The 27,332-nt window shown below is 34.2% G+C and overlaps 2 protein-coding genes and 1 pseudogene across 2 annotated transcripts; all 3 read left to right on the plus strand.

The window, feature by feature from the left end:
• The first annotated feature begins 5,036 nt into the window (after window positions 1-5,036).
• OR8J1 (olfactory receptor family 8 subfamily J member 1) lies at window positions 5,037-12,257 on the plus strand. The gene is made up of 2 exons (NM_001005205.3): window positions 5,037-5,071; window positions 10,973-12,257. The coding sequence occupies exon 2, from the start codon at window positions 10,993-10,995 to the stop codon at window positions 11,941-11,943; it is 951 nt and encodes a 316-aa protein (NP_001005205.2). The 5' UTR covers window positions 5,037-5,071; window positions 10,973-10,992; the 3' UTR covers window positions 11,944-12,257.
• RPL5P29 (ribosomal protein L5 pseudogene 29) lies at window positions 8,019-9,028 on the plus strand (annotated as a pseudogene).
• A 14,112-nt stretch (window positions 12,258-26,369) lies between the features above and the next one.
• On the plus strand, window positions 26,370-27,299 carry OR8U1 (olfactory receptor family 8 subfamily U member 1). The gene has a single exon (NM_001005204.1). The coding sequence runs from the start codon at window positions 26,370-26,372 to the stop codon at window positions 27,297-27,299; it is 930 nt and encodes a 309-aa protein (NP_001005204.1).
• The last annotated feature ends 33 nt before the right edge of the window (window positions 27,300-27,332 follow it).

Genomic DNA, 27,332 nt, shown 5'->3' on the forward strand with positions numbered 1-27,332 from the left:
TAAATGTATATGGTTATTCCACATTCTAATAATGTGTTGTTGGGTAAATATTTTGCATACATAAATTATAATTTTAAAATATTTTAATGAGAATAAATGCCATGCAATGTTATTTTTTTCTAAGTGGTGTTTCCTCTTTTGTTCATTTTTTTAATGAAATACTAACGTTTTAAGAATGAAGTACTAACATTTTTATGAATACTAACATTTACTAATATAATTGTGTGATTAAAAAATGCAGAATGACAATAATAGGTGTCTAAAATCAGCTATTTGATGTCATAGATAAAATATAGATGGTTTTCAAACATTACATTCTTTTCTACAAAAAGTTTATAATATTCCAGACTTAGTTGGACACCGTTGTTTTCCCTAATAACCACAAAACACACATTCTGCTTACAATTATAATCATGAGTAGTTGAAAAATAATGCTGCCAACCTATATAAAATTCCTTTAGTATTTATACATTCTCAAACTTCTTCCCAGAGTTAAAACCTTGAGCTTTATTTGATTTATTATCATTCCATGTCTAATTAATGACTTGGTACACCAAAAGCTTTTACCAAGGATATTTTAATATATCTGTACTTACTAATGTTTACATGACAAGAGTTGAAAGGTCCTAATGACTGGATTGTATCTCAGGATACATACAATTATTATTTTTTTAATATATGTACACAGTTTTATATATAATGCAGCATCAAATATGGGGCATTTTCTCCTATTTTACACACTCAGATATGTTTAAAACACTTCTTAAGGCTACAAAACAGAACATAGAAAAACAAATAAGAATATCTTCAACACTTACAAAAAGTGATATGATAAAGAATATAAAGTACTAGTTTTCTTTCAACACTTCAAACATACGTATATATACTTTTTTTACAAATAACATCACAAATGATCACATATTCACATGCTTTTAAATATTATTTATACTCAATTTGAGGCTATTATCATTTTTGATACATAAAATTTTTGTAGCTCTGAAACAATGCAAAATTTTTAATCCATTTCAGTAAGTAAGTAATTTTAATAACTACCACCAAAGGTGACTGTTTTAAGAGTGGACAGGTGTAGACCTACCCTCATGGCATAAAAGTAAGGTTCCCCATATCCGGCTTTAGATCTGCTTCTATATGACACAGAAAAAATTCAGGATAGCCAAAATAATCTTGAGAAACAACAAAGTTAGAGCACTCACAATAGCTACTCCATGGCCTCCTATAAACCTCCAGTACTGGAGATAATGCAGCACTTTATAAACATAGATAAATAGATTCATGGTACAGAATAGAGCCCAAAACACATGTACATATGGATGTTTGATTGATTATCTACGAAAAAGCCCACTTAATTTATATGGGACCTTAGACACATATAAATATCACCTACAAGGCTGTAACTAAAAGGCAATCAAACAAAAATAGGATAAAATATATTTCATATAGTAAGTATTAATGGTCAATATGCACATGATAAAGAAGCCCAACATCCTCAGCTATCGAGGAAATGGAATTACAGTAACAATGGGATACTATTTTCCATTAACTAGTTTGAGTAAAATTTAAAATATTTCATTACTAAGGAGTGAGTGTCAACTTGATCAAGAGTATTAGCTCCTGAAATTATCTTACTTGCTGATTACCATGTACAATGGTTCTTCACTTTGGAGAACAGTGTGGTGGTTTATAAATAAGGTTAAATGCATTACTACCACATGTTTCCAGAGTTCACCTTCTGGATGTTTATCAAAGGGGAATGAAAACATGTCTAAAAAATGTGTACATTCGTGTTATTGATAGCTCTATTCAAAATAGTATAAAATGGAAATATTTCAACTGTTTGTAAACAAAAATGTACATTGTGCTATATTCCTAAAATAGAATACTACTCAGCAATAAAACGGAATGAGCTATTGCTATATACAGGAGCACAGATGAATTTCAATAGCATTAACCAGACACAACCTACAATATTATTCCTTTAACATGAAGTTCTAGAACAGGTAAACTAATATATGGTGATAAAAACCATAGCAATTTCGAGCATGTGAATTCCAATGAACTAAGGTTTTGCTACCAATGTCAGCCATTTACTCTCCCACTAATTGGGATTACTTTTTAAAAGAGGTCTTTTGCCCTGACATACAAGCTTTAGAAAATCTTAGAAGAGGGGTGGTTGCATGTCTTAATGCTGGGAAGCAGCAACTTTGGGTGGAACTTACTGAAATGGATTAAAAATTTTGCATTGTTTCAGAGCTACAAAAATTTTATGTATCAAAAATAATAATAGCCTCAAAATGAGTATAAATAATATGTAAATCATGTGAATATGTGATCATTTGTGATGTTATTTGTAAAAAAATAGTATATATACATAGTTTGAAGTGTTGAAAGAAAACTAGTACTTTATATTCTTTATCATATCACTTTTTGTAAGTGTTGAATGTATTCTTATTTGTTTTTCTATGTTCTGTTTTGTAGCCTTAAGAAGTGTTTTAAACATATCTGAGTGTGTAAAATAGGAGAAAATGCCCCATATTTGATGCTGCGTTGTATATAAAACTGTGTACATATATTAAAAAAATAATAACAATTGTATCCTGAGATATAATATGGAGGAATTTACTGCAAAGAGACATTGGGGAACATTTCGGGATTATTAAAATACATTATTTAAATGTTAACTCTATATAGTTGGCATTTTATTGTATGTAAATTATTGAACTTTTAACATAAACCAATATAATATGGCCCTTTTATTTATTTTTCTAAGTTTATTGAGTTATAATAGGCACAACAAATTGTATATATGTAAGGTGTACAACATGACAATTTTTTATTTTGTTTTATTTATTTATTTATTTATTTATTTATTTATTTATTTATTTATTTATTGTAGACATGGGCGTCTTGCTATGTTGACCAGGCTAGTCTTGAACTCCTGGGCTCAAGCCATCCTCCTGCCTCAGGCTCCCAAAGTGCTGAGATTACAGGCGTGAGCCACTGCACTTGGCATCGTGATGTTTTCATAAACATATATATTATGAAATTATTACCAAGATGAAGCTAATTTACATATCTATTATCTCATGTAGTTAAGTTTTGTGTGTGTGGTAAGAACATTTAAGACCTACTGTGTCAGCAATTTTCAAGTACACAATACAGTCTTGTTAACTACAATCACCATGCTGGACATTAGATCTCCAGAACTTATTTATCCTCCATAATTTACATTTTACACTTAACTTACATAATTTACATTACACACTTACATTTAACATACTACATTACATAACTTACACTTTATACTCTTTGATCAACATCTCCAAGTGGCTGCTACTCCTCATCCCCAGCAACCACTTCTACTGTCTGCTTCTATGAGTTTGATTGTTTTAGATTCCACATAAAAGTGTGACCATAAAGTAAAACATTACCCTTTTAATACTATCTTTAGTATTAAGCCTCTCAGAAGCTTTCCTCAAATTTCTATATAATTTACATAAATAAAATTTGTAAAGAATATATGATTATATACTAAACATATCCCAGAGTTTACTTAACAAATTTCTAAACTGTGTAGTTTTCAGTATTTTATCTCACTGAAAAAATAATCTTATGAAGACTTTATTTATATATTTAAGTAACTCATATTACTTCTGTAGAACAGATTTCCAGAAGCGGGTTTTCCTCCCAATGAAGATTCCATCTTTTCAGCTGTTTTGGGCCTAACATAAGAGGTTTAGAATAATTATGTTCCTCTGTTCATGACAAATTTTCATTATTCAGCCAGCAAAACCTCTTTCTTATTCATGTTTTATTCTTTCTTGTTATGGACTGGATGGTCTATCTCAAAATTCATACGTTAAAGCCTTAATCACTAGTGCCTCAGAATGTGACTGTATTTGGACACAGAGCCTTTAAAAAGGCAATTAATTTAATTAGGGTCATTTAGCTGGGTCCTAATTCAATACAACTGGCATCCTGATAAGAAGAGAGATTAGGACAGAGAGAAGGAGATATACCAGGCACATAAACAGACTGAGGGACAACTATGTGAGGACACAGTGAAAAGGTGGCCCTCTGCAAGCCCAGGTGAGGGCCCCAGAAAAAACCAAACCTGCTGAGACCTTGAGCTTGAACTTCTATCCTTCAGTACTGTGAGAAAACAAATTTCCACTGTTTAAGCCACTCAGTCTGTGGTATTTTGTTATGATAGTCTTCAGTGTACCTTTCATCTTAATTTCTTTACCCAGTCCCAACCACCACCATCGGGAAACTGCCACAAAATAACTCAATGTAAATCTGTTTGTTTTCTTGTGCTCTTACAAAGCATACAATAGTTTTCTATGTCATGGATTTATACTGTACATAAATGTCATCATGCTGTATAACTCCATTTTCTGCTTTAATTTAAGGCCTGTAGAAGCAGATCTTTGGATCTACAAAGGGGACTTAATTCCTAAATATGATAATTTCCCCAAGGCATATTCCTTTCTAAACAATTCCATTAGTCATTACATGGATAAAAATGCATACATGCTAAATGTTTAGTGTTTCAAAAAATGCCTTTGTTCATCAGGGAATTTATGTTTTATACTTTGAAATAAGAGTTAAAGGGAGACAACACAGATAGTGACATAATAAATATATTATTTATAGATAACAGGTTTTGTAAAGCTGTGATACCATCAGCTTCTAGCTCTTACATATCTCATCTTGCAATAATGAATCTCCGAATGGAAGTGAATTACTTTAAAAGATGCAGTTTAACCCCCATGTCCCTTAGCTGTAATGAACTTGAACTCACTTCAATAATACAAAATAAACACAGACTACCAGAAAGACTCATGGGGTGTCTGATTGACTTTCTAGAGGGAGACCTTGTTAAGAAACCGGTCCCAGGAGGCACCTTCCCCAAAGACATGAAAGGCAATGTGTAGATACTAGAGTCACCTGTGCTTCAGAGTTAAGGTCTCAAAGGCTTTTAAAGCCCCACCAACTCTCACTGCCAGTCATGTATAGACTCTAAGAACCTGAAGCAGATTCTCCTCTAGAGGTGGGTGGAAAAGACTTACCTTATTTTTGTATAATGACCATAATGACCTTTTAAAGATCAAAACCATACTTAAAATGAGCCAAGGTATGGTTTTGGATCTTTTAAAGCTCATTATACAGAAATATGATAAGATAAATAAGTTTGTTTTTCAGATTTATAACTGTTTTTAGGAATAGAGGGCATCAAATATGATCAAGCTATTTATGTCTCCAAAATAGAAATGGCATCATTATGTCTCATGTACTTAAAAAATTATGTCACTACTGAAACTAGGAATTGCTGCTCATAGAGACTGTTTATATCATGGTTGTATTATTGCAATATTATTTACAATAAAAATTGTATATTGTACAGGATAGCCTATGAGAGAAAACTGGATAGACATCTACCCAAAGTCAAAATGATGCCCCTTTTTGAGAATACAAGTTTAGAATGCAAGTATTCTCAGAAAAATTATCCATTCAATGTGGTAATGTACAAGCAAATATATATAGAAGCATAATATGTAATCCACTGCAATAATGGAAAGTGTTTAGTTAAATCATCTATCTTATCATAAAATAAATCTGTTAGCATTTTACTTCAGAAGAAATAGCAAAGAAGAACTTCCATTAGACATCAAAACAAAGGACTTCAATTTGCAGGAAGACATTTCCAAAAGCAGGAGCAAGACTTTAAGATACACTATCCAACCCTAGATTCCTGGTGTAATGGGACAAAATCTCTATAACATTATCAAGAGGAATATAGAAAAAAACTCATTGCCTGGGTTGCTCTTAGTTCAACTAACCTAAAATAGCATGTTCAAAAGTAAGTTTACTTTCTTTTCATTCTCCCTCAGATTGTATAACAAAAGAAAACCCTAAGTACAATGAAAGTATTTCAAAAACACACTTTTTAAAAGGCTATTATTGTTGACTAAAACTAGTAATAGGGAATAAATATATATATATATATTTAAATTAAAGTCTATTTTTGTTACCCATTAGCCGTAAAACACTGTGCTAATTTAAAGACAACTCATCAAGGACCAGGCATGCTGGCTTACTACTGTAATCCCAGCACTTTGGGAGGCCGAGGCGGGTGCATTACCTGAGGTCAGGAATTTGAGACCAACCTGGTCAACACCCCGTCTCTACTAAAAATACAAAAATTAGCTGGATATGGTGGCGCCCGCCTGTAATCCCAGCTACTAGGGAGGCTGAGGCAGGAGAATCACTTGAACCCAGGAGGCGGAGGTTGCAGTGAGCCGAGACCGTGCCATTGCACTCCAGCCTGGGTGAAACAGGGAGACTCAGTCTCAAAAACAAACAAACAAACAAACAAAAAACTCCAACCTGCCTGGGTGACAGAGTGAGACTCCATCTCAAAAAAACAAACAAACAAAAGCTCATCTATCTTTCTACGCTCTCAATTCATTTGCATTTTTGAAAAGATTGAACATGCCTAGAGAGTAATCAGAAATGACATTTTTAAATACTACAAAATTAAAGTTAATTAGCCTCATTTGATGCTACCCTCATTTCTGGTTTTTAAATGTATGGAGCCACTGCTACAAATGGTGGACAAACTTTGCAGAGAAGATTCTACCTCTCACTAAAAACAAAGCAATCTCAGAAGAATCAATAACAGTGAAGACATGGAAGGTCAGAAATAAAAATATGCCTTAAAGGCATGTTTTGTAGGGTGAATGACCAGAAAAGTCATGTGAATCTGATGATAAATGAGGTAAAAGCATATTTCAATTATTCTAATGAATACCTTGGATAACACAACCTAATTGCACAAAAATCCTTAATGACTGGCATTCTTGCCAGTACAACCATAAAGAATCATAACATGGTGAACCAAGAAGGATACAATAATTAATGAAAGTGTTATAGAAGGCTTGCTCTAAGGAAGTAGAAGAGGGAGGTGCATAGGATGGGAAAGTATTCATAGAAATTAGCAAATAGTGCAATCTTGAGATTTAAAAGAGAAAATCATAGGATGAATATGACTTTTGTGATTAAAAATCACTTTTTAATAATTAATTATTGAATTTTCAAATAAATCATAAAGCCAGTACAGCACCAGGTTTCAGCAGAAACAGAGTATCTGATACAATCTGTAAGCATTTACATTGGCTGATAGTTGGCATGTTTGCTAAGGGGGATAACAAATAGACTGAAAGCTACAGACAGAATATTAAAATTGGAAACCCAGGGAAGGCAAGGTAAGAAAAGGGCATGGGAGGGGACACAGAAGCACAACTACCTGTTACGTAGTGTTTGGAAATAAAAGGAAAACTAGAGTCTCAAAAATAGGATTGATCTTCAGTGGGAAATGATGCAAACTGAATGAAGAACAAGTTAGGAATTTTGATTATAAATTTTTATAAAATCTTGACATATGAAAAAAATACTTTATCATTATCTAGATTGATGTTTCTCAAGCCTAACCACATCAATATCCTCCAGACTTAAATATTAGCTTGCTTAAATTATTATTTAAATGTTTCATAAGCACATAAAGCTTAATATGTTCAAAATATCACTTTGCTTACTCCATCTTAAAACATATTGTCTCATATTCAAAAATGGCACAGCTGTTAGTTACCCCAGTCAAAATAAATCCCCCATCTGTCATTCTCTCATATATAAGTTATATAACTTATTATATAAATTACATTGAGGAGATCATCTTGTTTCTGCTCCTGTCAATGTTACCATGTTTTGATATTGAGTGTCTCCATTTTAGCTGAAGCCCACGTTATCTTATACCAGAAATCCCATATCAACCTCTAAACTCATTTTTTGTGGTTATTTTAAAATTTCCATTCCTGCCCTGCCTCGAGCTTTTTCAATCCTATAATTCATTATCTTTACAACAAGAGTAATCTTTTTAAAACTTAAAGCCAATAATGTTTTTCACCTATCTTAAAATTTTGTCATGGCTTACAATTCAAGGCCTGCAGGTCTCTGTCAAGCCGTGGATGCGGGCCTCTCTTCAGCAGGACGGAGTTTGTTAAAGTTGTTAAGAGTAAGGCCTACTTTAAGAGATATACCAAGTGAAATTTAGAAGACGACGAGAGGGTAAAACTGATTACTATGCTCGGAAACGCTTGGTGATACAGGATAAAAATAAATACAACACACCCAAATACTGGATGATAGTTCATGTAATAAACAGATATATCATTTGTCAGATTGCTTATGGCTGTATAGAGGGGAATGTGATAGTCCGCGCGGCACATGCACACGAACTGCCAAAATATGGTGTGAAGGTTGGCCTGACAAATTATGCTGCAGCCTATTGTACTTGCCTGCTGCTGGCCTGCAGGCTTCTCAATAGGTTTGGCATGGACAAGATCTATGAAGGCCAAGTGGAGGCGACTAGTGATGAATACAATGTGGAAAGCATTGATGGTCAGCCAGGTGCCTTTACCTGCTATTTGGGTGCAGGCCTTGCCAGAACTACCACTGGCAATAAAGTTTTTGGCACCCTGAAGGAAGCTGCGGTTGGAGGCTTGTCTATCCCTCACAGTACCAAACAATTCCCTGATTATGATTCTGAAAGCAAGGGATTTAATGCAGAAGTACACCGGAAGGACATCATGGGCCAGAATGTTGCAGCTTAGTTGCTAGCGCTACTTAATGGAAGAAGATGAAGATGCTTACAAGAAACAGTTCTCTCAATATATAAAGAACAGCATAACTCCAGACATGATGGAGGAGACGTATAAGAAAGCTCATGCTGCTATAGGAGAAAATCCAGTTTATGAAAAGAAGCCCAAGACAGAAGTTATGAAGAAGAGGCAGAACCATCCCAGAATGTCCCTTGCTCAGAAGAAAGATTGGGTAGCTCGAAAGAAGGCAAGCTTCCTCAGAGCTCAGGAGCAGGATGCTGAAAGCTAAACCAAACAATTTTCTATGAGGATTTTTCAGATAAAGACAATAAACTTATGAACAGCAACTAAAAAAAATTAAGAAATAAATAAAATTCAAATAATCACTGTGACCTAATTCTTCCTTATTATAATCTATTCACACTGTCCTCCATTAAGACCCCCTACCCCCTCAAAAACTAAATGCTTTAACTTATTTTCTACCTCATACCAGTATTTTCAGCATATACATTCTCCACTAGAATCCTTGAATGTTCTTCCTATGATTCATTAAACATCTGGTTCTTTCAGATCCTTTAGGTCTCAATACAGATGTCACCTTCTCAAGAAGGGCTTCCCATCTTAAAATAAAAGTTGAAGAAAAAGAAATTAAAACTAAAAAGAAACTGCTAAAATTAAAAAAGACCTTCCCATAACATACCATGTGAAAATATTCTCCCAAGTTGTCATAATGTATCTTCATATTTAATTTCCTTATTTATTATTGAAATGTGCAATAATCTTGTTTCTACATTTCTTTACCAGATTTTTGTATGTTTCCTTTCATTGGAATAGTAGGTCCATAAAACAAGGGATAACTAGTTTATGTGAAGTTTGCACGTTACCAGAGTAAGAATTCAATAAACAGGTGGTAAATAAATAAATAAGAAGATTATTTTGAAAAACAAGAAAAAGTGTGATGTTTGGTTTGAGAATCAAACTGAGATCGGATATTAACAATGTTAGGAATTATTTTGGTTCATTTCATTCTTTTTTCACACTGCAGGATAGTTTTCTATTTTTCTTTTCATTGTATCTTTTTTTTTACAAGGAGACAAAATTTAAACAACGCTGGGATTTTAAAATTCAGGCATTTTAAATGATATAGTGTTAACTCTCTGTAACTTAACTCCACATTTTTAAATAAGTGACTATGACAGGATTTCTTTGGGCCAGGTGTCCACAACAGGGGAACTATAAATTGTAGCAGAGACTCCAGTTGGCTTAGTTAGGGGTAGAAGATTATCCTAAATATAAAGAACTCAAGGGAAATATTTAGCCATATTAAAATAGCATTTAAATTCTATGTCAAATATGAGCATTGTAGTTATCACAGAAAGTCTATAAAATAACAATATTTACTCATTACAGTGATAAAAATATAAAAATATAAAAAAGATGAATAAAAATCAACTGAAAGAGCAGATATACTTTATAAGTGGTAAAAATAATATCTAATTATATAAATAAAAATTGTGATTAAACATAAAATACAAAGTGAAAACTATGAGGAGCTGTAAAAACTTGTGAAACAGAACCAACAAAAAGACATGAGAAAGAAGGAACAGAAAGTAGTATCCAGTAAAGCATAATGCCAAGAAATTACAAAACTAATACAATTTTCACCAATATTATACATTGAAAGCTAAAAAAAATTGTCACCTGAAAAATAAATGTGAGGGCATATCTCCATGTATTTTAGTCAGAGTTAATTTAAAAAAGAGAGAAAAAGCAAACAGACATGGATGGTAAAATGTATGAGTTAAATGTGCATAATACACATTATACAAGGATGAAATGAATAAAGAAAATGGGTTAGGATAGTACCTAGAATCACCCATTCCTAAGAAAAAGCAAGAAGTCTCAAATTTAGAAATTGGATTATTTGCAGACATAAAATGACCTCAAGCCTTTCTCATGCCTAATGCAAATGATATAAAATATTAATTGTGGCTTCAAATGTTTGCAAACTAAGAATGTACTCATAATTCAATAAGACTGTGAGGAAGTAAATCCTCAAAATGTTTCATGATGCTGGATCATCTATTTAATTTACTATACGTTTCCATACTTGATCTTTCTGTCTCTGAAATAATTACCAAGTTTACTTATTAGACCTAGAAGCTTGAGTTTAATAACTGAGTTAGAGTAATAAACAATTCAAAGAAATGTTATCAGGGAATTGTCCTAGCCATATAAGGGCAGTCCTGCAAATAATTCTTTAAAGTTTTTAACCTCTCTTTTCCCCCAAACAGATGAATTTCCAAACTCTGACATGGCTCCTGAAAATTTCACCAGAGTCACTGAGTTTATTCTTACAGGTGTCTCTAGCTGTCCAGAGCTCCAGATTCCCCTCTTCCTGGTCTTTCTGGTGCTCTATGGGCTGACCATGGCAGGGAACCTGGGCATCATCACCCTCACCAGTGTTGACTCTCGACTTCAAACCCCCATGTACTTTTTCCTGCAACATCTGGCTCTCATTAATCTTGGTAACTCTACTGTCATTGCCCCTAAAATGCTGATTAACTTTTTAGTAAAGAAGAAAACTACCTCATTCTATGAATGTGCCACCCAACTGGGAGGGTTCTTGTTCTTTATTGTATCGGAGGTAATCATGCTGGCTTTGATGGCCTATGACCGCTATGTGGCTATTTGTAACCCTCTGCTGTACATGGTGGTGGTGTCTCGGCGGCTCTGCCTCCTGCTGGTCTCCCTCACATACCTCTATGGCTTTTCTACAGCTATTGTGGTTTCATCTTATGTATTCTCTGTGTCTTATTGCTCTTCTAATATAATCAATCATTTTTACTGTGATAATGTTCCTCTGTTAGCATTATCTTGCTCTGATACTTACTTACCAGAAACAGTTGTCTTTATATCTGCAGCAACAAATGTGGTTGGTTCCTTGATTATAGTTCTAGTATCTTATTTCAATATTGTTTTGTCTATTTTAAAAATATGTTCATCAGAAGGAAGGAAAAAAGCCTTTTCTACCTGTGCTTCACATATGATGGCAGTCACAATTTTTTATGGGACATTGCTATTCATGTATGTGCAGCCCCGAAGTAACCATTCACTGGATACTGATGATAAGATGGCTTCTGTGTTTTACACGTTGGTAATTCCTATGCTGAATCCCTTGATCTACAGCCTGAGGAATAAGGATGTGAAGACTGCTCTACAGAGATTCATGACAAATCTGTGCTATTCCTTTAAAACAATGTAATTTTAAACAGTACAGGTAAATGAGGAGAGAGTTAATATAAGCTGCCATTATGTAAAAGAAAATGTAGGAAAAAGAAAAGGTAGGTAGCCGAGTTACAGGTTCGTAAGCAATCATAAGAATTACAACAAGATACAATTTAGGGAGCTTTGAATTAAAAAATAAACTGAAACCCTTTGAGTTGTGAGGTTAAGTTAGAAAAAAAAAATGTTATTTACCAATTCTGCCTGGGATTAAGCAGGTAGACAGTTTGAAATAAAAATGGTTTCCAGCAGTTAGAAAAAAAAATTAAAAAAAGTTAAATAAGTTTGAATGAGGCAAAATATTACGATGAGAGAAGTAAAATTGACTTTCTTATTCTTTGTCTTCTTTCACTGCCCTCCAGGTATAGTTGGGTATAGTCAATCAATTCATCTTGAAAAACTGAAATTTGATTAAAAGATCCTTTTCTTCATCTAAGTTATCAAAATTAAACTAACAATCATATTTAAAATAAAATTTTCTAATGATTTCTTAATTTTGCTCTAAGAATGAAATGAATACTATCAATGAATTTATATTTTGAATGCTAACCAGAATAAGATTAAAATAATTTTATTCCACTTAATATAATTTATACGATTTTTTAATGAGAGACAGAGTATCATATTTAATATGCTTTCAGTCTGGATTTGATTTATAAACTCCACGGATTCTGTACAAATGTCCCTTTCTCCTTACTCTAAGTATTATTCTTCTTTAGTGTACAAAATGAATGCCTTGTGTTATGATATTATTATACATTGAGTGAAACATATTAATGAAAGTTTCTTACATAATTGGAAATAAAAAATTCATTTTATAAAAATTTTTTTCTGCTTTCTGATAACTCTTGTTCACTGAGCGTACATTTAAATTTCTTGCACAGCTTTGCATATGAGGGGACACAGCTAAATTTCAGAATTATCAAATCAGAATCATAAGATAAAGGTCAATAAATTTATATGTTAATAAGCTTCATGGGGAATTTTTGACATAGAACCCTTAAGAATGAATCTTGGGGCAGTGGCTCATGCCTGTAATCACAGCACTTTGGGAGCCTAGGCAGGCAGATCATTTGAGGTCAGGCATTTGAGAACAGCCTGACCAACATGATGAAACCTCATCTCTACAAAAAATACAAAATTAGCAAGGTACGGTGGTACATTCCTGTAATCTCAGCTACTCAGGAGGCTGAGTCAGGAGAATTGCTGGAACACGGGAGGTGAAATTTGCAGTGAGCCAAGATCTTGCCACTGCACTCCATCCTGGGAGACAGAGCAAGACACTGTATTAAAAAAAAAAAAGAAAAAAGAAAAGAATGAATATACATATACTGGACAAGATATATTACATTCTGTGTGTATGTTCACCTTATTTATAAGGGTGTTTCAGTGTAGAAGAGTTTCTTCAATTATAGGGAGTAAATCTTAAGTCATGATAATTATGATACATCAAAAGAAATGTAGGAGAGTGGAGCTAGATGTTTGAATAGGATTCTCCAGGGATCACTCCCCAGAGAACCATCAATTTGAACAAATATCCATGCACAAAAATATCTTCACAAGAGCTAAGGAAACCAGGTGGAGTTTGCAGCACCTGATTAGAGCATAGTAATAAGAAAAGCTGCATTGAGGAGAGTAAGAAGAGCAACTTTACATCACCCACATCACCTCTCCTCCAAACCCAGGAAACACATCATAGACAGACACACCATTTGCTTTGTAAAAAGAAAATAAAATGAGCATAGGATATGTTTTGGTCCCCAACACTGGGACTACTATAGTAAAATCTAGCACCTGGCAGCCCCTCATGGCCCCTGAATCTGGGCTGGTAACTCCTGACGGAGGTCAGAGCCTCCTGCAGACTGAGTCTCCTGGCCTGCCCTGGTGCCAGGCACGAACCTATAGGCACGGCAAAATGTACCTGATTTCTTGCCTTACTGATGGCTGACTACATTGGTCTTGGGCTCTGGGCAAATCAGGCCTTAGTGGCAGTAGACTTTGAGTATACTCCAGTGCTGCACCAGCCTCAACAGTCACCAGGATTCCAGCCCCAAGATGCACTGACCACAGCAGTCTTGGGTTTAGGGTACCACCTAGCACTGCAACAGCTGCCGTGGTCACAGGATTAAGGACAATGCCACCCAACCTGCCCAAAAATTATAAGCAAGCTTACAGTTTAAGAGTGTTCCCAGAAAAGAATTTCCCAGACTGTGAAGACCAAAATAAATAATAAAATGCCTCCCATCAAAACAAAGCCCAGGACCCGATGTCTTCACTGCCTAATTTTACCAAACATTAAAAAGCAAACTAATAGCAATTCTGAAACTCTTCCAAAAGTTTAAAGATGAGGGAATATTTCCAAACTTATTTTACAAGGCCAGCATTATTACCCTGATATCAAAACCAGAAAAAAAAAAACACAAGAAAAAAAGGAAACTACAGGACACTATCCTTGAGAAACATACATGCAAAAATTCTCAACAAAATACTAGCAGACTGAATTCAATAGCATACTAAAAAGATAATTTACTATGATCAGTGGAATTATTCCAGGAATGCAAAGATGGTTCAACATATGCAACTCAATAAATGTGATACATCACATTACCAGAGAGAAGAATGAAATCATATGATCGATTCAACATAAACAGAAAACACATCTGACAAAATTCAATATCCTTTCATGATAAAACTCTAAACATATTAGTATAAAAGAAATGTAACTGAACACAATAAGACTAATACATGGTGAGTCCACAGCTACTATCAAATGCCTAGCAAATACTAGATCTTATTCATTCTTTCTATTTTTTGTACCCATTAACTATCCTCACTTCCCCCCTTATCCCCCTACTACCCTTCCCAGTCTTTAGTAATCATCCTTCTATTCTCTGTCTCCAGGAGTTCAATTATTTTCATTTTTAGCTCCCATAATTAAGTGAGTACATGCAAAGTTTGTTTTTCTGTGCCTGGCTTATTTCCCTTAGCATAGTGATCTCCAATTCCATTCATGTTGTTGCAAATGACAGGACCTCATTACTTTTTACAGAGAGACAGTACTTCCTTCATTAAATACAATAACTATCAATTTAAAAAATTATCATTTAACCTAATGTGATGATAAATTAATGAAATATCATTCTTATGTGTTCATGTAACCACATTGGACATTTCTAGGGAAGGAGAAAAATTATCCTTTGAAATAAATTTACAAAAAAATGTTTGGACCTCTGCACAAGGTGTGTACCTGGTGCTATGAAGAATGTCTCAGAAAATGCTTGATTTTATTTAGACCCTGAAGTAAAGAGTGAATGTTAAACCACTCTTTGTGTAATGATAAAGTTGTATCTATGTTCCTTTCAAACAATTTGTGTTGAAGAAACTAACAGTACAATGAGTATAACTTTTTTGGGAAGAAATTTCTGAATATCTTTCTTTATTTTACTTTATTTTAGACAGGATCTTGCTCTGTCACCCAGGCTGTAGTGCAATGGTGTGATCATAGCTCACTGTAACTTCAAATTCCTGCACTCAAGAGATCCTCCCGCCTCACCTCCCAAATAGGATGGCAGATATGCACCACCTACCATGGTTTTTTTTTTTTTTTTTTTTGGTAGAGACGGGGACTCACTATGTTGCCCAGGCTGGTCTCAAACTCCTGGTCTCAAGCAATCCTCCCACTTCAGTCTCCCAAAGTGCTGGGATTACAGGCGTTAGCCGTCATGCCCAGCCTGAATATTTTTCTTAATCTTTAGAAGTTTCTTCATAAAAGCATTGAGTAGATATTTTCCAATCCTGTCTGTTTTATGCTTCCTCTCTCTTGTGAATCAGGGTACATGGGTTCCATCTATTACTTTCCTTTATTGCTCTCCTTAAAAAAACATGTAAAAAATAACAAGATAATGCCTACAGCAATGAAATCATACACTGTGAATTTACCATAATATCTGTGAATATTTAAACACCACTATTACTTTTTTAAATAGAAAAAGGTGGTTGTGTAAAATAATTATTTATTAAAGGAAATGAGAAGACTTGCTTGAAAGGAGGGATGAAAGGGTGTAGTTACATAGGTAAGACACATGGAATTATTTCCTGTAGTCAAACTATTCAGTATGATATAATACCGTAATGGTAGATAAATGACACCATCCCTTTTTCAAATACTCATAGAGGTATACAGAACAGAGAGTAAATGTTAATGAAAGATAATTTAAAAATAAATCATTTAGTAGGTCTGAGGAACCTGAAAAGGAGTGCAGAATGTGGCAAAACAATACATTGTATTAAAAATGCACAAAACATGCCAGGCATGGTGGCTCATGTCTGTAATCCCAGCGGAGGTGGACATATCATTTGAGGCCAGGAGTTCGAGTCCAGCCTGGTCAACATGGCAAAACCCCCTCTATCCTAACAATACAAAAATTAGCTGGGAGTGGTGGCCTATGCCTATAATACCAGCTACTCAGGTGGTTGAAGCAGGAGAATCACTTGAACCCAGGAGGCAGAGGTTGCAGTGAGCCAAGTTTGTGCCACTGCACTCCAGCCGGCAAGACAGAGTGAGACCCTGTCTCACACACACACACATACACACACACACACTCACACAAATCATGAAACAATTTCCCTGGAAGAGATGGGGTAAATGTGCTGATGTAAGTAACATCTAAAAGAGTGTGAAAATTAAAGGCAGAATGAACTAATGAACGATACATTACACTGTAATTATAAAGTTGTGTCTCATAGGGATATGTTTTAACAATTCTGAAACAAGTATGATTGTATACTAGAAATGAACAGTTAAATAAATGGATGGCATATGGTTGTTCCCACATTTCACATTATTGGAGTAGAAGGTTATAGATTAGCAAGGAGAGTATTCTAGAGTGATCCATGTGATCAGGGATTAGTGTTAACGATGAAATGAACTTATAATCAACTTAATATAAACACTAGATAGAAATAGTTATGGATATGTATATACAACATATATGAGTGAGTATCCACAGTTCTACCTCCTTGATCTGTCAGCTGAGAAGGCCTAAAGGTATGTGAACAATTCAGTGCAGCAAACAGACTTAGAACCCAAATAACAGTTTCTAATAACAATATTCCAAAAAAGGAGCCAGAGCTCCTTTGAGACTTGACTAGGAAAGGGTGGGACATTTACGTAATGAATCCAGAGCATATTATAGTTCCAGAGGTTAAGGAAGCACTGAACGAACGTGAGAGAGAGAAAGGTAGGGAAGAAGGAAGGAAAGAAGAAAGCAAAAGAGAAACACGATGATAGAGCTATGTCAAAATAACACAGGAGCAAAGTGAAAGGGTTTCCAATGAATAAAGCCAGAATAATTGGTGCAACAAAAATAAATAATGTAGAATATCAGAATTGAATTATTATCCAAAGTATAAAATAATTGTTATAACATATTGGTAGAAATAAATGATTGAACAAATTATAAATGGAAGAAAAGAGACAAATGTCCCCTACAAAATTCTCACTAATTTATGTAGCTATTCTGCCCTCAAGGAGGTGAAGCATAATTCCCCATTCTGTAAGTGTAAGTTGCACCTACTGACTTCCTTCTGAAAAGTTAATATGAAAAGGAGAGAAGAGTAACTTTTCAGTGGAGAAACCTGACAGGCACTATTTCAGCCAGATGATCAAGGTTAACATGAGCAGTGATAAGTCATACTGATAGTATGTACCTTCATTATGATATGATTAGAATGTCAATTACAGTTATGATTTTCCTCCCCAATAACCAATTACCCCAGTCTAATCATGAGAAAAATATCAGAAAAAGCCTAATTGAGGGACATTTCAGAAAACACTTAACCACTATCACAGTCATAAAAATAGGAAGTCAAGAGGGCATAAGAAAACATAATGGCAAAATTCAATATTCTATCCTGGATAGATGCTGGAACATAAAATGAACATTGGGCAAAAACTAAAGAAAGCTGAATAAAGTGTGAACTTTATTAAAAACAACAAGAATGCCTGACATTCATCAACATCACTCTGTTAGCTAAGACTTACTGTGGCCCATCTCCCTCCTTTTCCATACGAATAAATGGAATTTTATTTTAAAAATGAAAATCTGAATAACACAGTTTATGTTGCTAAGTCTAGTATGTTTTTCCCCACAAAAACCTCAGGCCTCTTTATTCTTGGGGAAGAAAGACAGATGAACATATTGTGTCATCAGCAACCATGGGCTTGACTCCTGATAGAACCACTGAGTTTTTAGAAATCAAGGTATAGATACAAGGTGTGCTGGTTGCTACTAAGGTGTCACTCTTTTTAGTTACTTTCAGCAAATTTAGATAGGAATTATAAGCATGGATAACAAACCATTTAAATACACAAAAAGGGTGGGTGTGGTTGCTCTCTTCTTAACCCCAGCAATTTGGGAGGCTGAGGCAGGAGGATCACTTGAGCCCTGGTGTTCAAGATCGGCCTGGACAACATAGAGAGACCCCATCTTTGCGAAAATTAAAAAATTAGCCAGATGTGGTGGTGGACACCTGTAGTCCCAGGTACTCGGAGGCTGAGGTGGGAGAATCATTGAACCCAGCTACTCGGAGGCTGAGGTGGGAGGATTACTTGAACCCAGGCGTTGCTGGTTGCAGTGAGCTGTAATCACACCAGTGCACTCCAGCCTGGGTGACAGATTAAGACCCTGTTTTTTATAAAACAAATCATCTATCTATCTATCAATCTATCTATCTTCTATCTACACACACATACACATATACACACATATATATTAGATATTTTATATCTATCTCTCTGCCTACCTACCTACTTCACTATTATATCTATCTAGATAAGCTTAAGCACATAGTGATGACACAGCTTTTAATCTAGCATCACAGTGTTCATTCTAGTCATCTCCACTGATCATTTTCAACTTCTTTTTCTGAGAGTGGAATACACAGCTTCTTAGCTCTAATCTAATTGTTTATTTATCTGATCAAGCTTAGTATAAATAGCTTTAGAAATGTCAGCCAATGCTCATCTCCATAGAATTCAGATACATTTCAAAAAGCTGTCTGAAGCTGACAATATAATCTACACTCCCACCAAGTTTAGTAATTTTCTAACATTAATTCTCCAAGATGCATCCATAAATTCTGCTTTGCCAATAAAATCTTTATCACTAATACTGCCCTTTGACCATGAATGAATCTCCCCCTAAAACATTTAGAACCATGTAAACTTCAAATGTAGGGCCATATTGTTGACTTCAGTATCACTAAAAAAAAAACCCAAGTTCACTACGGTTCTTCTGTCAATTATAAATCCTCCACTGGAAAAAATAAATTGTCAGCTGGAAAAATTTAAGATCTAGAAAGCTCATATTTCTTAGATAAATGTTTATTCTTCTTAGATTAGAAAGATATATTTTATCTTTAATAATTTTCCTAGAGGAAAATTAGATAGTGAGAGTCATTTTGTGTGCCTGAGCTAAAATACAATTTCCTCAATTATTGAAATTACATTTCAATGACAGACTTGAGACTCTAGAAATTGCATATTTATTAGTAATTTCATGATTTTTCTTAACTATGAAAAAGTCTCTACACCATTTAATGTTTTTTCCTTTGTTTACATTGGCTCTACCTAAAGTTCTCACATAATAATTTCCCACAACTCAGGAGAAAAGGTGAGATTAATAACAATGTCCCAGTAGAGTCTTCTTTGAGGACATCAGATGAAAAGTACACCTTATTTTAAACTCTCTAGGGCCTTAAAATGAGGATTAAAACAAACAAATAAACCTCCCAATCTCCACCTACACAAGTCAAAGTGGAAAAAACAATGTTGAGAAAACACAAACTTTTCATTAGAGGAGTGGAGAGAACACTGGACTTTGCTTCCAAGGATTAATGAGAACTACACTGTGGTGATGAGGGTACATTAGGCAGACCCATCTTCCACTTCTATCAATCAGTGGCACAGATGTAAGCACAGGTATCTCTGTTTGATTGCTTATTTTTTGTTTGATTGCTCATTGCAAGAGTCAAATCTGTTACAGTCAATGGAAAAATATCCCATACTATAGAAAAATTATGTATAATTTCAGCATTTTGATGAATAAAAAAAACCTAGGGTTTCACCTTTTCAAAAATAAAAATGTAATCGACAAAACAGAGGAAACAATTGAAACTACAAAAATGTTATTTAGGGCTAGGTGCTGTGGATCACGCCTGTAATCCCAGCACTTTGGGAGGCTGAGGTGGACAGATCACTTGAGGTCAGGGGTTCGAGACCATACTGGCCCACATAGTGAAACCCCATCCCTACTAAAATTAGCTGGGCTAGGTGGCAGGTGCCTGTAATCCTAGTTACTCAGGAGGCTGGGGCAGGAGAATCACCTGAACCTGGGAGTTAGAGGTTGCGGGGAGCCAAGATCATGCCACTGGAATCCAGCCTGGATGACAGAGTGAGACTCTGTCTCAAAAAAAAAAAATGTTTTTTAGTAGAAATTTCATAGATAATACAATTTGAAAATGTTTGAAAGCATGTGGCATAATGCCTGACATATAATATACCTACTGAATGAGTATTGATGTTACTGAATAATTGCAATAGTAATAATAATAATAAAGTTTAGTCTCTGATGGTAAAAGTAAATTCAGCCATCAGGATTCATCTACTTTTGAATATTATTAAAAGTTTGAGGAATGATATTTTTAATAACTCCATTAAATATCAAGCTGTGAGTGGACACTTGTCATAGCCTTAGTTGATTTTTTGTTCCTGAATCTGTCAAAAGTGCAAAGACCATGAAAGTATCTATTTCAACAAAATGGTCACATGCTACAGAAGATGTATGTATTACAAACTTTTGAAAATATGTATTGGGTGCTTAATTTGTGCAAGATACTATTGTAGGCCCCAAAGGTACAGTAATGAACAAAACAAAGTTTCTTCTCATATGGAGTTTCTATTTGACAAGGAAGATGGATAATAAGCAAATATATAAAATAATATCAGAGAGCAAGCAGGGCTTGTGACTATGTGGAGGAGTGTTCCAAGCAGAGGGAATAGCAAGTACTCAAATCTTAAGACTAGAACACAAAGGCCATGCACAATGTTTAGTGTCTTCCCAGTACAAGTCAATATCGCTTGATCCATTCTGAACTTGGTAACATTTATATGCAACTGAGTTTGCACATCTAATTACACGACCTGGTAATATGGTTCATCTCTTGTGACCGTACATTTTCTGTTCCAATATAATATTTATGGAATCGTTTAGATTTACTACGTGTTACCCAATGTCTTGCTTCTGTATATGGAAAAATAACCAGAAATTAAAATATGTTGTAGTTACGGCAATAACAAACAAACAGACAAAAAGAAATTGCTAGAACGTCAGTGTGGCCGGAGCGCAGTGATTAAAGCAAGGAAGTTCAGGAATAATTCTGCAGTAAAAAACAAGTTCCTTTGAAAGGACAAAAAGAAGAGCCATCATTGTTGATCCACTGCTAAACAGCTGAGTAACATAAGCAACACATTACAAAGCAGTAAATTCCCTGTGGCCATTGAGTGTCATTATGATGTTGAAATAATTGTTCTGGAGGCCAACACACTGGTCAGCAAAGTTGATTCTTTCACCAAGTAAATGGAATATAAAATCAATAATACTCTATTAATCATTTCTTTTATGCAATGTCTTTATCTATTGGATGATAATAGGAACAGATGAAACTATTAAAAGAAACTCTTGATTAATCGATTATTCTCTACTAATTAATGTTACCCGAAGGATTGCCTTCTAAGCTCCCCAGTTTAGGAAGAAAACATATGAGGCCTCTTAAATAAAAAAGTTTTCCTTTATCACTTAAAATAACATTGTAAAAGATCCCTAAGTTAATATGGGACATCATTTCCTTAATTTTATTACAAAAAAATTGATGAATGGCATTTGTTGAAGCATGGCCAGCATTAACAGATGCTTCGGTAAGCAAGGAGGTGCTGCAGTTCTTCAGAATCTTTTTATTTTCCTGAAATTTAGAAAACTTAGGCATGGGAACTCATAGATCCGCTGAAAGTAAGAAAGAATGGAATTGTATAGTGACTTTTAGTATACACTCACTCACTGATCAACATTAAACACTGGTAAACAAATCTAGTCTAATGTGACAAGATTAAAAAAAATTGCCACATTACATTTATCTGAACAGTCAAGTCTACTCTCTGGGTATGGTGTTAGTATGTCTTTACTCACAGACACTGTTTTCTAAGTTATGTTTGTGATGAGATATAAGAATGAGAAAAAGGATAATGTAGAATGGACTAAGCCATGAGTTACATATAGACACTTACAGTGCCAGTTACAACTCTGAATAAGAATTGTAAAGGCCTTTGTTATTCTCTGAGGAAGAAATGTATTAACTTATATTTCAAAATACCATCATTTAAAATACATACAACATTTTCTATATAAAGCGTCTGAACTTCCATATTTTACAAATGACAATTTTGGCTTTCTGTGGCCATCTATAAATCTGATTTTTCAGGTATTAAAATTATTTCATTATTTTATTGTTTAATCTCATATATTTTAAGACAAAAAATAAAGAGAATTGGGGAACCAAATGTAATGTTTAGAGTTTTAAAATATTTTTTATTCATTGGTAAGGATTTAGTGTCAAATGGCTAGTCCAGGATCAGGATCACCACTCATCCTCTGAAAGTTTTTTTTTTTTTTTTTTTGTGCGTGTGTGTGTGTGTGTGTACATGTGCATGTTGTACTGCACATATCGATTCAGTATCTCAATATCAAACCTCAAGTCATGGCATTTTGTACGAAATCACAGAGATGGAAAATTAAGCCAATTTTACTAGATGTATTTCTCATTTGAAAAAACAACTATGTACTCAAATAATTACTTAATATATTACACACACACTTATAATTCTTATCCTAATTAATATTTACACCATTTAACTAAGTTGTGATTTCTAAGCTTTTGTCACTTTTCCTGTTTCAGTCAAAGTACTGTGTTCATAAAGCTACTGTTATTGTTAGAAATTTACTTAACAGAAAACTACAGGGATGATTTTAAATTTATAGCCAATATGGAAAATATACAAATCCACTCTTCTTACTCACACAGTAATTTACAAGACATTTCTTATCCGTTGTCTAGTTTGGAGTGACTAGGACATAAGCACATGCCCAGAGCTTTTGCAAAATGTCTCATGCATAAAATATTAAGGAGTAGGTCCTTGGAAGAATTGGATACACATTTCATAGAAAGCTATTTGTGAGAATTTTCAAAAAAGATAGTTAGCTACCTGCCTTTCAAAGCCAATATTGAAGATTGACACTAAATCTACAACAGCAAATATATTTTGTAAAACATAAAAATATAGTAATGTTTTTAAAGTTAGAGGACCCTTAATAATGTCATACTAAAAACAGCTTCACATCTGCAGTTATTTAAAAACAGATCAGGTCAATAAATCTTTAGCCTGCCTTGCAATTCCAATGAAGTACAGACTGTAATTTTTATGATACTCTTACTTGCTTCATACTCTGGAACAAGATCCTTTGGGAAAGAGACACTAACAAAAACCACATAGTCATTGCTATCCACACCTATTATGAGGAGAAATACAAGTATCCTCTTCCCAGGTAGAATAGAGCATATTTCAAGATGGTGGGCTTTGACTCATTTATAGCTAATACATTTGCTATATTAACTCGAGATAAGTATTTTTAAAATTAAAGAGTGCCGTACAATAATTAGAGAAAAATCATTACGAGTACATTTTATAAAATAAAGTGTTTTCTCTGGTTTTATTTTAATTTTATATGTGGGTATGCATTGTGATTTTAAAATATTTCTTATTAGATTGAAGTAACTAAAAATTCCTGTTTAGAATTTTTAAAAATGTTTGGAAATAAACAGTTCCGTTATTGACCAAATTATACATTCTATGCCCAAACTCTGCTTTCCCCTCTTGCAGTAGCTAGAAATTTTACCCAGGATTAGTGGGGCATTCGTTAGACATTACTAATATGTCTCTAGAGATATTTTCCAAAGAAAATAATATAACCTAGGGGCAAGGGGAAGAAATATTCAAATGTCATTCCAAAATTAATCTTTAATTCCCCATCATCTAACATCTAGAAGAGACTACATTAGGAAATGAATAAAAACAGCGTGATTTTCAACCACAAAGGGTCTAAAGTCTATCAGGGGAAGATATATGGAAACAGATGGTTGTAATAAGAGATGAAATATAGATTAGGTATGTCTAAAATGTTTTTGGAAGACAAATATGAAAGCTGTTAACATGGGAAGGAAAAATTAAGTAGCTCTTCATAGAAGTGTGATATTTCAGCAGAGCTTGAAAGATAAGTAGGAGTTTCCATTTTCACTGTCTATTTTTCTGTAAAGAAAGAAACTAGGAATGGCAAGATTAAAAATAGAGAAGTATGGAAAGGCATTTTGTTATTGACAAATTGAGACCAATCATTAATTGAAACAATGGATGCTCCTGCTGACTGGAGAGTTGAGTGGAACCGGGATAATAAAAATATTCAGAGATGATACTATAAAAAGTCACATGTCCTTTCAAATATAATGCATGCTCTCCTTTGGATTCAAAGTAAAATAGTTTGTGTGCACACGTTTCAGGGTTTTGTGTTTTACAGGTGGAGAAAAACGAATGATAAGAAAAGAGACCAGAAATATAGGGTAAAGTTGGATAACGCTTGCTTTCTTTCCAGCCTGGACTACTATCTATTCTTTCACTGCTCTATCTTCAGACTCTATGCACGCTCTGAAAATTAATAGTCCCCACTATATATTATTGAATAAAGAACTGAATGAATTGAAATAACCTTCTACAAGAGTAGCAGTTAGACAAAATCCAGGAAAATGTTAAGGATAGAATGTTCAGTCTTGGTTACAGATTACAGTGGGTGGTATAGCTAGGAACTGTTAAAGGTAAGTTGCTTATCTACTCATGTTAGTGAAAATGGTTCAGTGTGTGGGGACTAGTGTGTAGGTTTTGAAACTGTGCTTGTAACTACTAGTAGATCTTAAATCCACTTTTTAGGATCCCAAGAAGCATTGTTTGAATTAAATAGAATGGAACAGATTACGCTAGAAAACGAAAGAATATGTAATACAAGCGGATGTCAGGGAAGCAAAAGTATTATTCTCAATATATCTATTAGTTCCATGCCATCTTATAACAAGTATTTATTTCTATAGTTTGTCATAAAAAAGTTTGAGTCTGAAAGTTAGTCTTCTTGAGAAGGGTTTGGTCTGAGCAGTGCAAAGACCAAAAATTCTCTTTTTACTTACCTCCCTTTTCTCTTTTCTTTTTCCTATTTTAACTCAAAATTGACGTTCAGTTTTTAACATGCAATTAGAGATTTGGAATTTATGGGTTCCTATGTCCTTATCCATCAATTTCCATGTTGCTATAATTAGACATTAATGTTCCATCTGTATTAGGGTTTTAGGATATCTAGTATATACTTACATATTGCATATCTAATATGTATCTTATACATATAATAAATATAATTTATTTAGAATAAAATTAAGGTAAATAAGTATTTTTTGAAAGTTACTACTTACCACATTATGTTGCTCAATAAATATGTTTATTAATACAAAACACAAATAACTGAAATGGATTCTTTGATTAATTGAGCAGAAGTAAATACTCAAGAGCTATTAGTAAACTCTGAAGAACAGTGAAGAAACACAGGCTCTTATTTTATTTATATATTTATTTGCATAGTAATTTTCAAAGCGTGAAATTTATAAGTTTTTAAGGAAAGCTCTATTTTCCATTACTAGATATAATGGTGGGAGAGAGAAGAAAGAGGAGTTGAGAGACATGATATTTGATACTATTTGGGTATTCAATAATTCAATTTTAAAATTATCCAAAATGAATAAGAAAATGATGATACACAACATTAAATAGAGTAGGAAAACAAAAATTAATGCAAAAAATGTAATTAAATCAGTTTTTTAATAAAAGATAAAAAAGCAGACATAAACTGAATGTAAAGAAACATAAACTTCCAAATCTCTTAGAAAGCAAATATCAATTTTACTCTAATTTACAGGATAAGATTATGTGAGGATTCATTCCCTACATTCATGTAAGTTCATGCTTTAGATATAAAGATGTTTATACGGTGTTATATTCTTTTTGCTCTCCATCACATTTCCAGAATTCCAGTATGCTAACAATCATTATATTAGTTAAATAAATTAATAAATAAATCTAATTAATTAAACTCTTTACAATACAATAAATATAAAAACACCACATATAGGATTTACAGTATTAAAATATGACTTAGACTTAACTCTTTTCTCTACTTCCACATTTAGATGGCCAGAAAAGATATGGCTCACATCAATTGCACCCAGGCGACAGAGTTTATTCTTGTGGGCCTCACAGACCATCAGGAGTTGAAGATGCCCCTCTTTGTGCTATTCTTATCCATCTACCTCTTCACAGTGGTAGGCAACTTGGGTTTGATCCTACTCATTAGAGCGGATACAAGTCTCAACACACCAATGTACTTCTTTCTTAGCAACCTAGCTTTTGTGGATTTCTGTTACTCTTCTGTCATTACACCCAAAATGCTTGGGAATTTCTTGTACAAACAAAATGTTATATCCTTTGATGCATGTGCTACTCAACTGGGCTGCTTTCTCACCTTCATGATATCAGAATCCTTGCTACTGGCTTCCATGGCCTATGACCGATATGTGGCCATTTGTAACCCTCTATTGTATATGGTTGTAATGACTCCAGGAATCTGCATTCAACTTGTAGCAGTTCCTTATAGCTATAGCTTCCTAATGGCACTATTTCACACCATCCTCACCTTCCGCCTCTCCTATTGCCACTCCAACATTGTCAACCATTTCTATTGTGATGACATGCCTCTCCTCAGGCTAACTTGCTCAGACACTCGCTTCAAACAGCTCTGGATCTTTGCCTGTGCTGGTATCATGTTCATTTCCTCCCTTCTGATTGTCTTTGTCTCCTACATGTTCATCATTTCTGCCATCCTGAGGATGCATTCAGCTGAGGGAAGACAGAAGGCTTTCTCGACGTGTGGCTCTCACATGCTGGCAGTCACCATATTCTATGGGACCCTCATTTTTATGTACTTACAGCCTAGCTCTAGCCATGCCCTGGACACAGACAAGATGGCCTCTGTCTTCTACACAGTGATCATTCCCATGTTGAATCCCTTAATCTATAGCCTCCAGAATAAGGAGGTGAAAGAAGCTCTGAAGAAAATCATTATCAATAAAAACTAGAGTTTTGTGTTTATAAAATTAAGAAAGTAACTT

Source organism: Homo sapiens, chromosome 11 (genome assembly GCF_000001405.40).
Source record: "Homo sapiens chromosome 11, GRCh38.p14 Primary Assembly".
Classification (NCBI taxonomy): Eukaryota; Metazoa; Chordata; class Mammalia; order Primates; family Hominidae; genus Homo; species Homo sapiens.